Source organism: Homo sapiens, chromosome 19, assembly GCF_000001405.40.
Source record: "Homo sapiens chromosome 19, GRCh38.p14 Primary Assembly".
Lineage (NCBI taxonomy): Eukaryota > Metazoa > Chordata > Mammalia > Primates > Hominidae > Homo > Homo sapiens.
The window spans coordinates 10,303,161-10,316,062 of NC_000019.10; the positions used below are offsets into that span (position 1 = coordinate 10,303,161).

The window sequence follows — 12,902 nt, forward strand, 5'->3', positions numbered from 1 at the left end:
TTTAGTCTGAGTGGTCAAGGAAGGCTTCTCTGAAGAGCTGATGTTGGGGCCAGGCCTCCTCAAGCGATTAGAAGGTGTCAGCCATGGGGAGATGTGGAGGGAGGGTGTTTCAGGCCAAGGAAGGGTAAGATCAAATAATTCAGGGATCTGAGGGCAGAGGAATCTGGACTCCAGTTCTCCCATTCAGGGCTGCCCAGGAGAGACAAAGAGGATCTCATAAGGGTGTGTGGCTTTGTGGCTCACTCACGCCCACAGCAAGGACCATGCCCACCCTACTTTTTTTTTTTTCCCCAAGTCTCCCTCTATTACCCAGGCTGGAGTACAGTGGTACGATCACGGTTCACTGCAGTCTTGACCTCCAGGGCTCAAGTGATCCTCCCACCTCAGTGTCCTGAGTAGCTGGCACTACAGGCATGCACCACCACCCCTGGCTCATTTTTTGATTTTTTGGTAGAGACGGGGTCTCACTGTGTTACCCAGGCTGGTCTCAAACTCCTGGGCTCAAGCGATCCTCCCACCTCTGCCTTCTGAAGTGTTGGGATTACAGGTGTGAGCCACCATGCCCAGCCCGCCACCAGTCTTGACTCTCCATCCTCCCTCCCTCCCTGTGAGTGCTGGTGGCCTGTGTGTCCCGCCTGCTGAAAGATGCCTCTGACTTGGGGCTTTTGACTTCAGGCCCGGGAGACACATTTTGGCTGGATTAGGGAGATCTTAAAAGGGGGTAGGGGACACAGCAGGGGCTAAGGAGAGTGACACACTGCAGGCAGGGGTTGGGTGACAGATGAAGGATCCACTGGTATATGCTGCCAGTGTGTGCCATCTACTTGTGTGTTTTACGTGTGTCTGGTGCATGTGTCCTGTGTGGGCTGTATCTGTGTGTGACTCAGCTACGTGTCAGCATATCCCTGTCGACGTGTGTCTCTGCTGATGTGTCTGTCAGCACGCACGGCTGTCTTGCATGTGTCTTTTTTGAGATAGAGTCTCGCTCTGTCACCCAGGCTGGAGTGCAGTGGCACGATCTTGGCTCATTGCAACCTCAACCTCCCAGGTTCAAGCGATTCTCCTGCCTGAGCCTCCCAAGTAGCTCGGATTACAGGCACATGCTACCACGCCTGGCTAATTTTTGCATATTTAGTAGAGACGGGGTTTCATCATGTTGGCCAGGCTGGTCTCGATCTCCTGACCTCAGGTGATCCACCTGCATCAGCCTCCCAAAGTGCTGGGATTACAGAAATGAGCCACTGTGCCTGGCTAGACATGTGTCTTTTTTTTTCCCTTCTGTATATAACAGGGTCTCACTATGTTGCCCAGGCTGGTCTCAAACTCGTGGCCTCAAGCAATCCTCCTGCCTCAGCCTCCCAAAGTGTTGGGATTACAGGCGTGAGCCACTGCACCCGGCTTGTGTGTGTCTTTCTGTATCTGTTGTGTGTGTCTGTGGGTAGTGGCTGTTTCCCTGCATGGGACATTGTGGTAAATGTGGCTAATTCCCTGTGTGGGGGCTGCTGCCTGTGGATAAGACTGTGTCTCTGTGCATGCGCACGTGTGTGCACGCCCCTCACAACCCCAACGAGAAAACACCTGTCCACCTTCCTGGGCTGGCACAGGGGCACAGGAGGCGGGATCCCAAATCACAGGCTTTTTCTCTCGGCATATCTCTGTACTTTATTGTCCCTGCTGTAACAATGCTCATCCTTCCTGAGAGCGTCTCCTGAGGGGGCCTCGGCCAAGGCTGACTGGAGAAGGGGCTGGTGACCCCTAGCAGGCTCTGCCACCTGAGGCCTGGGTCTTCCCCCGGGATCCTTGAATCTGGAGATGGCAGAGAGGAGGCAGGCCGGCTCTTTCCCCAATCCTCCTAGGAGAGCTGCTTCTGCCCATTCTCCCACTGGTGAAACGGAGGCAGAAGCAGCAGCTCAGCAGGGTGAAGCTGGGTTTAACCTTCCTGAATGGGGTCCAGGGACACTCCACATCTGCCACATAGCCTCTTGGGCTGGACATTTTTCCTGGGCACCAGCCAGCAGCTGGAGCAGCGAGTGCCGTATTTCTTGTACCTAGGGTTGGGGGACAAGAAACTGCCATTTAGGATGCAGTGGGGGCCCGGAAACCGCCACAAGGAAACCACTTTTCCCAAGAGGTAGGTGTTTTGCTTTTTGCTTTCCCCACAGGCCATCCTGGTTACACGTGGACTGATTTGGGGACCCCCGCCCCAACTCCCTCCTCCATTCTAAGGACCTGATCCCACAGGCGTTGCAGAGAGGGGTCCCATCTTCAGCGTCTCTCCAGAGCGGGGTCCTCTGGGTCCGACAGGAAGCACAGCGCCGGGGCTCTGAAGGGTCAGAGGTCAAAGGGCAGGGGTCAGAGGCCAAGCATGTGAGCTCGGGATGCCTGTGCGGAGTCGGGCATTTTGTGGGGGTCTCAGTAAAGGCCCCACCTAGCTCTGGATCAGCCCTGGGAGTTGCCAGCTCTAAGCCACAGCAAAGCCAGGAAGGGAGACAGATGGCAGCATTCCGCAGAGGAGGAAGCTGGGGGTGGGGGTGACTCAGCCCAAGTGGAGGGGGGTGCTGCGACTCCTCCCTGAGGGCTCTAAATGGGGAAGCAAGATGGAGAAGGGGGGGGCAGGGAGAAAGGCAGGGAAGACAGGAAATTGGCCCCCAAAATATTTATAGCTCTTGGGTTTTCAGGACTCACCCAGGGCCTCGCTGCCTGCTGAGTGGGCCTCGGTGCCTCCTGGGTGGGCTGCAGGGCCCCCAACAGCATCTGCAGGGGATTCCTGAGAACGGCTACTGCAGGGCAGGCTGTGGGGCAGACAAGGTATTAGCACTGGGGGGGATCTGTAGCTTGTCCCCAACAGCCCTCCGAAATGAAGATTTAGTATCAAGGTATCAGCCATCCCCCGAGGAGGCAACTAATATCTGAATGGCCTGGCTTTGCCTCTCATTAGTAATATTATTATTATTATTATTATTATTTTTGCAGATGGAGTCTCGCTCTGTTGCCCAGGCTGGAGTGTAGTGGTGTCATCTCAGCTCACTACAACCTCCACCTCCCGGGTTCAAGCAATTCTTGAGCCTCAGCCTCCCAAGCAGCTGGGACTACAGGCGCGCGACACCACGCCCAGCTAATTTTTGTATTTTTAGTACAGACGGGGTTTCACCATGTTGGCCAGGCTGGTCTCGAACTCCTGACCTCAAGTGATCCACCCACCTCGGCCTCCCAAAGTGCAGGGATTACAGGCATGAGCTACCGTGCCCGACCTAATTATTATTATTATTATTTGAAAAATAGTAAGCACAGGGACAGCCTGCCAGGTTCCAATCCCAGTTCTCCATGTCCTTGCTGTGTGAGCCTGGACACATTATCTCCTACTCTGTGCCTCAGTTTCCTCATCTGTAAAATGGGCTTCCCAATACAACAGTTTTTTTTTCTTTGAAAATTTGATTTATTGATTTTTAAAAAGAGATGGGAGTCTGGGCAATATAGGGAGACCCCGTCTCTACAAACAAAAAAAATAGCCAGGAGTGGTGGTACAGGCCTGCACTCCCAGCTAGTTGGGAGGCTGAGGAGGGAGGATGGCTTGGGCCTGGGAGGTCCAGGCTGCAGTGAGCCATGATTGCGCCACTGCACTCCACCCTGGGTGACAGAGCAAGACCCTGTCTCAAAAACAAACAAACAAACAAAAGCAAAAAAAAGCAGCCAGGCATGGTGGCGGCTCACTCCTGTAATCCCAACACTTTGGGAGGGCAAGGCAGATGGATCACCTGAGGTCAAGAGATCGAGACCATCCCGGCCAACATGGCAAAACCCCATCTCTACTAAAAATACAAAAATTAGCCAGGCGTGGTAGCAGGCACCTGTAATCCCAGCTACTCCAGAGGCTGAGGCAGGAGAATCGTTTGAATCCGGGAGGCAGAGGTTGCAGTGAGCCGAGATTGTGTCATTGCACTCCAGCCTGAACGACAGAGTGCAACTCCATCTCAAAAAAAAAAAAAAATATTGTTTTGGCGGCATGATTAAAAAAGTCATAATTATAATTTTTATAATAACAATAAATAGGTAAAAATTAGAGCTGGGGGTCATACTATGTTGCCCAGGCTGGTCTTGAACTCCTGGGCTCATGCAATCCTCCCACCTTGGCCTCCCAAAGTGCTGGGATTACAGGTGTGAGCCACCAGGCCCAGCTTCCCAAAGCTTTTTTTTTTTTTTTTTTAAGGGGATGGAGTCTTGCTCTGTCACCCAGGCTGGAGTGCAGTGGTGCCATCTCTGCTCAGTGCAACCTCCACCTCCTGGGTTCAAGCGATTCTCCTGCCTCAGCCTCCCAAGTAGCTGGGATTACAGGTGCCCATTACCATTCCCAGCTAGTTTTTTTTTTTTTTTTGAGACTGAGTCCCACTCTGTGGCTCAGGCTGGAGTGAGGTGGCGCTATCTCTGCTTACTGAAGACTTCACCTCCTGAGTTCAAGCGATTCTCCTGCCTCAGCCTCCTGAGCAGCTGGGATTACAGGCACCCACTACAACGCCCAGCTAATTTTTTGTATTTTTAGTAGACATGGGGTTTCACTATGTTGGCCAGGCTGATCTCAAACTCCTGACTTCAGGTGATCTGCTCGCCTTGGCCTCCCAAAGTGATGGGATTATAGGCGTGAGCCACTGTGCCCGGCCTCCCCAGGCTTTTGAATGAGCCCATACACATAAAATACTGCCTGTTAACCTCTTATTGTTGTCACTACCAACAAATAGTAGCTGTTAGCATTATTGGGAAAAATCACCGCAGCCGCAGCTGCAGCCTAAGCAAGGCCAGGCCTGATTCCTAAAGAGACCAGGTCTCACATTGGGAGTGGGGAGCCACTGAGTCAGGAGCGGCAGGACTGTATCTGGCACCAGCTCAAGTTGTCAACCAGAGACTGGGCCACGTGTAACGTAGAGCACAGGTGAGGGTCCACACCGACGCCAGAGAGCACCCCTACCTCCCACACTGGTGTTTGCGTTGTAACTGGGAGAAAGGGCGGCCTGGCCCCAGCCGGCCCCTACCTGTACGTGGGGATGATCTGCAGGCTGGAGTCCGGCTTTATCTGAAACTTCAGAGTCACCCCCTCGAACCCAGGGTCCACTCTCTCGGTGCCCCGGCAGGGGTTCAGCTGTTTCCGGGGCCTTCTCTGGGGTGGGGCCGAGGGAGTCCCCGGGGGCTGCAGACGGCGGCCCTTTTGGCTGATCCTGGTCTGTGTGTCCTTGGAATCCCTGTCCAGCAGCAGGCGGCCCTGAGTCCCCAGAGCCATCGGGTCCCAGCAAGGCCCCAGGACCGGGGTGTCCTGGGCAGGGGACTGACCCAGCCTCTCCACTGTCTCTTGGAGGAAGCACAGGGCGGTGACCGACTCCTGGCATGCAGGCCAGAGGGACCTGGGGAGAAGGGCAGTGGGGTCACGTTTTCTTGGGTGACTCCTGGGTTTAGCCGGCCAGGGGGTTCCAACTTGGGCCGGCTCTTTGTGTACCCTTGGACAGGCTACACACCCCACCTGAGGTTCAGTCATTTCTAACTCTGGGTGGAAGGTTTAAGAGTTGCAGTAATTGCAACTCACCTCGCCCACTGTGGGCCTCCCAGGCACGCCCAGCCCTCCACATCAATCAACCCCTTACGGCACCCGTAGATCACCCAGGCAGGGACCGCCCTAGGTGACCGAGGCAGGATATCAAGCCTCTGGCTGCAGGATCGAGAAAAAGGTTACTTTTTTTCTTTGTGTTTCTTTTAGAGACCGAGCCTCACTCTGTACCCCCGCCTGGAGTGCAGGGGCGTGATCAGGACTCAGTGCAGCCTAGAACTCCTGGGCTCGACCGATCCTTCCGCCTCAGCCTCCCGAGTAGCTGGGACTTACAGGCACGCGCCACCACGCCGCTGGCTTGCCATAATATGATTACGATTTTTATCATTTTCATTATTATTGAGTTGCCCTCCATAACCCCTGGATGATCCCTGGGGAGTGCCTACATCAGCCCCAGAGACATGGAATTGCATGGCCTCTGATCCCTAGATGACCCCAAGTGTCTCTGGGCACCAGAACCTCTTTGTAAGTTTCAGTAACTATTATAAAATTGCCACTTCTCGATAACCCCAGCAAAGAGAGGTCATGACCCCTTGATCACTGAGCCAGGTGGTGAAGTGCTAGCGGGGTCCGGGGAATGGGGTTTGGCCTTACGCACCTCTCACTGATTCTGCAGCATCCTGGGGTCCTCGGCTTCTCCTGGGAGGGGGATCCTCCCAGCCGCTCCAGGTTCAGACAGGGCGGCGCCAGAAGCTTTGCTGGCATTGAGGAGTCCGGGATTGGCTCGGCCTCCATTGCGCCCCAGCCCAGCCCCCTCCCTAATTTCACCCGGCCCTGTCCCGCTGGGCCCACCCGATGAAACCCACCTGGGAGGGGCGGGACCTGTGTGGTGGGAGCGCTCTTGGTAGAGGATGCGATGAGCCCCAGCTGAGAGCGACCAGCCTCGGCGGCACCTTTCCTCTTTCTGGCTTTTTTCAGGTCATCCGCGCACCCCTGCGTGGCAAGGGCGGCCTGGACCCCACCAAATCCCTCCGCAGCTGCCGGGGCGGGGCCTTCCACGCTAGCCCTCCCCCTCGGAAATGGGGGCTCCCAGGCCTCTGCCTTGGATCCCCAGCGGCATCTTAGATCCCAGAGGGAAAAGAGAACCGGGGGCCCAGCACAGCAGATGCAGGTGTGGTTTGTTTTTGTTTTTGTTTTTTTTTTTTTTGAGACAGGGCCTCACTCTGTCACCCAGGCTGGAGTGGAATGGCCTGATCACCGCTCCACTGCAGCCTAAATCCCCTGGGCTCAAGTGATCCTCCCACCTCAGTCTCCCGAGTAGCTGGGACTACAGGCACTTACCACCACTCCACGCTAATTTTTACTGTTTTTATAGAGACGAGGTCTCGCCATGTTGCCCAGGATGGTCTTAAGCTCCTGGCCTCAAGTGATCCTCCCATCTTGGCTTCCCAAAGTGCTAGGATTACAGGTGTGAGCCACCTGTAGACCCCAGATCTGTCCCCCAAGGACACTCAACATGCTGGGGCCTGTGTTATCGATTTATTGCAGCTCCAATATGAGTCCACTCCTACTCAAACCCTGATTCTCAGGGGCCTGGGGAAGGCCACCCCACTAGGGGCCCTGTCCCCACCAGAGCCTGGACATGGGACTCTCTCCCAAGCAGGGGTGTTGTCCTTCACAGGGGCTTCCACGTCTCTCCCGGGCCTGTCCGCACTCTGGGCAGGGCTGGCACCTGGCTATTCCCTCAATCTGGGCCCTGGGGCCATGGCAATGTGGAATGGTCCAGGTGTTCATGTCAGTGGGGCTTGGGGACATGGCCATCCACGTAGAAGTTCCTGGTGATCTTGGGCAGGGTGAATTCCGCTCCTTCCAGCTCCGGTGTCAGCACAATCTGGCAGCCCAGCCGCGAGTTCTCCTGGAGGAGGGGGGCCATGTCTAGCATGTCGTCTTCCCTAGGGTGGTGACACGGGCAGTGTTAGCCGAGGGCAAGCTAGCTGGGTGGGTGGGGGGCCAGAGGTGGGGGAGGGAGGAAGCTGACTGAGCGCAGGGGGTAGTGGTGGGGGAGGCAGCTCCCATTCCAGGAACTGGAAGTGGGGAGGATGGTGGGGGCTGCTGAATGCTCCAGGGTGAAGCTGCCAGCTAGACAGGGCTGACCCACTCACCTCTCCTCGGGAGGAGGCAGGAGATCCAGGTGGTCTTCACTCACATACACATGGCAGGTGGAGCAGGCCAGGGAGGCTTCACAGGCCCCTAGGGGTGGGAAGTGAAGGGGGCGCAGGTGAGTGGCAGAGTCAGGAAGGGGCTGCTATGCGAATGGCGTAGAGGAGTAGACCTCTCTTCCACCACGTGCCTCACGTCTCCCTCCTGGGCCTGCAGCTCCACTGTGTGTACCAGGCACTGTGTCATGTCCTCAATGTCCTCAGCTAGCTGTTCCCCAGTGTGTAGGGTTTACAAACGGACATCTGGGAGGCCCCATTTCCCAGGGACTCCCTAGCAGGCTGAGATGCAGAACCATTAAGGAGCAGGGACTTGGCTGCCAGGTAGCTGAGAGGGGAAAGGCCAGGCAGGCTCCCCGCAGTCTGTGAGCCCTTGCTGTGACCCTATCACTGTGCTGGGCTAATGTGTCCCCACCTCTCCACTGCTCTTGGAGGATGGACCGGCTGACTCAGCAGTCAGTGTGGTGGGGGAAGGAATCAGGCATTAGGATTTTGTTTTTTTTTTTTTTGAGATGGAGTCTTGTTCTGTTGCCCAGGCTGGAGTGCAGTGGCACGATCTCGGCTCACTGCAAGCTCTGCCTCCCGGGTTCACGCCATTCTCCTGCCTCAGCCTCCCAAGTAGCTGGGACTACAGGTGCCTGCCACCACGCCTGGCTAATTTTTTTATATTTTTTTAGTAGAGCTGGGGTTTCACCATGTTAGCCAGGATGGTCTTGATCTCCTGACCTCATGATCTGCCCGCCTCAGCTTCCCAAAGTGCTGGGATTACAGGCGTAAGCCACTGCACCCGGCCAGGATTTTTTTTTTTTTTTTTTGAGACAGGGTCTCACTCTGTTGCCCAGCCTGGAGTGCCATGGCTCAGTCATAGCTTACTGCCTCAACCTCCCGGCTCAAGCGATCCTCCCACCCCAGCCTCCCGAGTAGCTGGGACTACATGTGCGCACCACCACACCTGGCTAATTTTTTTTTTTTTTTTTTTTTGAGGTGGAGTTTCGCTCTCTTTGCCCAGGCTGGAGTGCAATGGTATGATCTCGGCTCAATGCAACCTCTGCCTCCCAGGTTCAAGTGATTCTCCTGCCTCAGCCTCCCAAGTAGCTGGGATTACAGGTGCCCACCATCACGCCCAGCTAATTTTGTATTTTTAGTAGAGATGGGGTTTTGCCATGCTGGCCAGGCTGGTCTTGAACTCCTGACCTCAGGTGATCCACCTATCTCGGCCTCCCTAAGTGCTGGGATTACAGGTGTGAGCCACCGCACCTGGCCATATTTTTTTTTTTTTTTTTTTTTTTTGTAGAGACGAGGTTCACCATGTGGCCCAGGCTGGTCTCAAACTCCTAAGCTCAAGCAATCTGCCTGCCTTGGCTTCCCAAAATGCTGGGACTACAGGCATATGCCACTGCACCAGACCAGGAATTAGGGTTGAAAGAGACAGAACCTGAAGTTTTCTGCTGACCACCTGCCCTTGGTCACACCCCCACATCCTCTGATCACAGAGACCGGTGCTTGGGGATCATGTCCCTCCTGGCCTAAAACTTTCCAAAGGGTTTTCACACTCAGAATAAAATCCAAACTCCTTCACTTAGTCTTGCAGTTCCCCCATCCCCCTCATTCATTCCTTTGTTTTCCTTTGTAATTTTTTTCTTAGAGATGGAGTCCCGCTCTGTTGCCCAGGCTGGACTGCAGTGGCGTGATCTCGGCTCACTACAAGCTCCGCTTCCCGGATTCACGCCATTCTCCTGCCTCCGCCTCCCAGAGCAGCTGGGACTACAGGCGCCTGCCACCATGCCTGGCTAATTTTGTTTTTGTATTTTTAGTAGAGACAGGGTTTCACCATGTTAGCCAGGATGGTCTTGATCTCCTGACCTCGTGATCCGCTCGCCTCAGCCTCCCAAAGTGCTGGGATTACAGGCGTGAGCCACCACACCTTGCCAGGCCACTTACCTCTACTAGCCCGGCACAGTGGCTCATGTCTGTAATCCCAGCACTTTGGGAGGCCAAGGCAGGCAGATCAACTGTGGTCAGGAGTTTGAGACCACCCTGGCCAACATGGCGAAACCCCATCTCTATTAAAAATACAAAAACTTAGCCGGGCATGGTGGCAGTTGCCTGTAATCCCAGCTACTCGGGAGGCTAAGGCAGGAGAATCACTTGAACCCTGGAGGTAGAGGTTGCAGTAAGCCAAGATCATGCCATTGCAGTCCAGCCTGGGTGATAGAGCGAGACTCTGTCTCAGATAAATAAATGAACAAATAAATCTATCTCACATTCCAATCCCTGTCCTAGACTATTGGCTGCTGGATTCCAGAACAGAACTTTAGGTAGGCCTTTCATAACCCCTCCCAACATATCTTCCCCTTTAATGATAAAATCAGGATCCCTGATATATTCATCCCAAAAGCAAACCCTATATATTTTCTTCCAGACAACCCTTCCCAAGTTGGTCATAATTATGTATTTACCTGTGGGATTATTGTCCCTATTAGACCGAAATGGATGTGAGATGACAGAGGCCTTATTTGTTTTGTATATTGCTGCCTGACGCGCAGTAGGTATTCATAGAAAGGCAGCACAGATTAGTGGCTACAATGGACTGGTGAGTCTAGTATTGTCACTCACTTGCCCTTAGACCAGGTCTACTTAACCTGGGGTTTAGTTGCCTCATCTATAATAGGGAATAACAGTCTCTACTACTCAAGTTGTCATGAAGATTCAGTCAGTGAATATTTATTAACATGGTTAAAGACATATATATATATATATATATATTTTTTTTTTTTTTTTTTTTTTTTTTTTTTTTTGAGACAGTCTCACTCTGTCGCCCAGGCTGGAGTGCAGTGGCGTGATCTTGGCTCACTGCAAGCTCCACCTCCCGGGTTCATGCCATTCTCCTGCCTCAGCCTCCCGAGTAGCTGGGACTACAGGCGCCCACCACCACGCCCACCTAATTTTTTGTATTTTTATTAGAGACGGGGTTTCACCATTTTAGCCAGGATGGTCTCTATCTCCTGACCTCGTGATCCGCCCGCCTCGGCCTCCCAAAGTGCTGGGATTACAGGCGTGAGCCACCGCGCCTGGCCTTTTTTTTTTGTTTGTTTGAGACAGAGTCCCGCTCTGTCATGCAGCCTGGAGTGCAGTGGTGCCATCTTGGCTCACTGCAACCTCTGCCTCCCAAGTTCAAGTGATTCTTGTGCCTCAGCCTCCCAAGTAGCTGGGATTATATGCATGTGCCACCACGCCCAGCTAATTTTTGTGTTTCTTGTAGAGACAGGGTTTCGCCATGTTGGCCAGACTAGTCTCAAACTCCTGTCCTCAAGTGAGTCGCCTGCCTCGGCCTCCCAAAGTGTTGGGATTACAGGCATGAGCCACTGTGCCTGGACAAGAAATTTCTATTATTATTTTTCTCTCAACAAATTATCAAACATCTGTTACATCTTGACAGGCAACAGATAAGCATGAATAAGGACATGGGTCACCAATCTCACTGGGGGACAGATGACAAAGTAGGAAACAAAACAGCCTGGCATTGTGGCTTGTGCCTATAATCCCAGCTACTTGGGAGGCTGAGGTGGGAGGATCACTTGAACCCAGGAGTTCAAGGCTGCAGTGAGGTATGATTGCATCATGGCACTCCAGCATTGGCGACACAGCAAGGCTCCGTCTCTTGAAAAAAAAAAAGTGAGAAGTGCTATATATCATATCACACTGATAAGACAGAGTAACTAGGGCATGGGTACTTCAGCTGGGCTGAGGGGAATGGGATTGTTAGGGACATGACATTTACACTGAGGTCTGAAGGATGAGAAAGAGCCAGAATGTTTGCTGGGAAAGCACTTCAGACAGAGGGAACAGCAAATGTAAAGGCCCCGAAGCAGGAATGAGCTTGGTTGTTTGAGGAACCACAAGAAAGCCAGTGTGGGCTGGGCGCGGTGGCTCATGCCTGTAATCCCAGCATTTTGGGAGGCTGAGGCGGGTGGATCACCTTTCAGGAGTTTGAGACCAGCCTGGCCAATGTGGTGAAACCCCGTCTCTACTAAAAATACAAAAATTAGCTGGGCTTGGTGGTGGGCGCCTGTAATCCCAGCTAGTCTGGAGGCTGGGGCAGGAGAAACGCTTGAACCCGGGAGGTGGAGGTTGCAGTGAGCTGAGGTGCAGTAAGCCATTGCACTCCAGCCTGGGCAACAAGAGTGAAACTCCATCTCAAAACAACAACAACAAAAAGAAAGCCAATGTGGCTAGAATACAGGGAGGAAGGGGGAAGAGAACACAAAATCCTGGGAGCCAGGAGTCCTAGTGATCTCTAATAAATGCTTAACAAATAAGAGCTTGGCAACAGATGAGGCCATGGTGAGGGGTTTGGATTTTAGTCCATATTTGGTGGGAAAAAGACGTGAAGAGACACACCTAATTTGTGGGTTTTTTTTTTTTTTTTTTTGGACAAATGTATAAGGACCTCCTTAATTCCCTCTGCCCGGTTCCTACCTTCCAGGTCCACCCCGTGGCGCTGGGCCAGGTGAAGAACATTGTCCCCGACTCTGCCACTCACTGGGATCCGCTGGCCTGAGCGGTCTACGAACACCACGTTCACCCTGGGGACAGATGGAAGTGCGAATGCCGAACTGGATGATGGGCTCAGGGCCCGGGTAGAATCTAGGGTTAGGAAGTAGGAATTGAGGCTTGACGCACAGGTACTGAATAGGGCAAAGCAGAAGGGGGACCTCGAGATGAAGCTACAGGGCAAGATGGGGACCAGAGGAATTCCGTGGGATGAGGAATGGGGGACTTGGCCCCCTGCACTCACACGTCCCCGGGCCGCTCCGGGCCGCCCGCGTCCTCCTCTCCAGCCGGGCGCGAGCCTGGAAAACACGGTTCGGTGAGCGGCTGCGCCGAGCCCCGCCCCGCCGGCATCTGACGGATTAACGCTGCCCGCCCCGGGCGCCCCAGGTACCTGTCGCTTGAAACTTTCTGGTTGTCCCCAGCGCCACCCCCTCCCCCGACCCGGAAGTGCCCCCAGGTCTGTTCCACCAGGTGCCCCTGGCAGCCTGCAGTAGAACCCTGGCACTCACGCCTCCCCGGGCCATGGAGGCGGCCATGACATGCATCACGTGACTCACCGACTGAGCATGCGCCGCGCCAGGGAGGCGAGGGAAAGCCCATAA

At 54.1% G+C, this 12,902-nt stretch overlaps 2 protein-coding genes and 1 long non-coding RNA gene across 6 annotated transcripts, besides 2 other annotated features; all 3 read right to left on the minus strand.

Annotated features, from left to right (window-relative positions):
- On the minus strand, positions 1,643–6,655 carry ZGLP1 (zinc finger GATA like protein 1). Of its 3 annotated transcripts, NM_001409033.1 has the most exons (5): positions 6,189–6,655; positions 5,025–5,390; positions 2,686–2,792; positions 2,230–2,323; positions 1,643–2,048 (listed from the first exon to the last, which is right to left on the minus strand). In NM_001409033.1, exons 1-5 carry the CDS (start codon positions 6,323–6,325, stop codon positions 1,931–1,933), a joined length of 822 nt encoding a protein of 273 aa, NP_001395962.1. In that variant the 5' UTR covers positions 6,326–6,655; the 3' UTR covers positions 1,643–1,930. The 3 variants fall into 3 exon arrangements, 2 of the variants coding, with proteins under 2 accessions (NP_001395962.1, NP_001096637.1); NM_001103167.1 differs by having other exon boundaries at positions 5,025–6,397; NR_176053.1 differs by lacking the exons at positions 2,686–2,792; positions 5,025–5,390; positions 6,189–6,655 and having other exon boundaries at positions 2,230–2,485.
- On the minus strand, positions 1,643–12,855 carry FDX2-ZGLP1 (FDX2-ZGLP1 readthrough). Of its 2 annotated transcripts, NR_176052.1 has the most exons (9): positions 12,692–12,855; positions 12,545–12,599; positions 12,226–12,393; positions 7,693–7,780; positions 6,189–7,482; positions 5,025–5,390; positions 2,686–2,792; positions 2,230–2,323; positions 1,643–2,048 (listed from the first exon to the last, which is right to left on the minus strand). It is a non-coding gene; the product is annotated as an FDX2-ZGLP1 readthrough (long non-coding RNA). The 2 variants fall into 2 exon arrangements; NR_176051.1 differs by having other exon boundaries at positions 5,025–7,482; positions 12,226–12,332.
- Positions 1,702–2,901: an enhancer, noted in NCBI's record as "CDK7 strongly-dependent group 2 enhancer chr19:10415538-10416737 (GRCh37/hg19 assembly coordinates)". NCBI's record gives its function as "activates an origin of replication core promoter dependent on BRD2, BRD4, P300/CBP, MED14 and CDK7 cofactors, with strong dependence on CDK7, by STARR-seq in HCT116 cells {active_cell/tissue: HCT116}" and the evidence as "EXISTENCE:reporter gene assay evidence [ECO:0000049][PMID:35650434]".
- On the minus strand, positions 6,885–12,855 carry FDX2 (ferredoxin 2). The gene is made up of 5 exons (NM_001397406.1): positions 12,692–12,855; positions 12,545–12,599; positions 12,226–12,332; positions 7,693–7,780; positions 6,885–7,482 (listed from the first exon to the last, which is right to left on the minus strand). The coding sequence occupies exons 1-5, from the start codon at positions 12,834–12,836 to the stop codon at positions 7,326–7,328; spliced, it is 552 nt and encodes a 183-aa protein (NP_001384335.1). The 5' UTR covers positions 12,837–12,855; the 3' UTR covers positions 6,885–7,325.
- Positions 12,490–12,609: a silencer, noted in NCBI's record as "silent region_10064". NCBI's record gives its function as "represses an Ori minimal core promoter by ATAC-STARR-seq in GM12878 lymphoblastoid cells {active_cell/tissue: GM12878}" and the evidence as "EXISTENCE:reporter gene assay evidence [ECO:0000049][PMID:35858748]".

What these genes read in the sequence shown, in the direction of transcription:
- ZGLP1 (NM_001409033.1), bottom strand. Translation starts at nt 6,325, where the DNA reads ATGGAGGCCGAGCCAATCCCGGACTCCTCAATGCCAGCAAAGCTTCTG. An exon ending in CAGATCATCCCCACGTACAG is followed by an intron (nt 2,793 to 5,024) that starts GTAGGGGCCGGC and finishes TCTGCCCCACAG; the next exon opens with CCTGCCCTGCAGTAGCCGTT. An exon ending in AGCAGGCAGCGAGGCCCTGG is followed by an intron (nt 2,324 to 2,685) that starts GTGAGTCCTGAA and finishes CTGACCCTTCAG; the next exon opens with AGCCCCGGCGCTGTGCTTCC.
- FDX2 (NM_001397406.1), bottom strand. Translation starts at nt 12,836, where the DNA reads ATGGCCGCCTCCATGGCCCGGGGAGGCGTGAGTGCCAGGGTTCTACTG. An exon ending in CAGAAAGTTTCAAGCGACAG is followed by an intron (nt 12,600 to 12,691) that starts GTACCTGGGGCG and finishes CGTGTTTTCCAG; the next exon opens with GCTCGCGCCCGGCTGGAGAG. An exon ending in CTGCCTCCTCCCGAGGAGAG is followed by an intron (nt 7,483 to 7,692) that starts GTGAGTGGGTCA and finishes TCACCACCCTAG; the next exon opens with GGAAGACGACATGCTAGACA.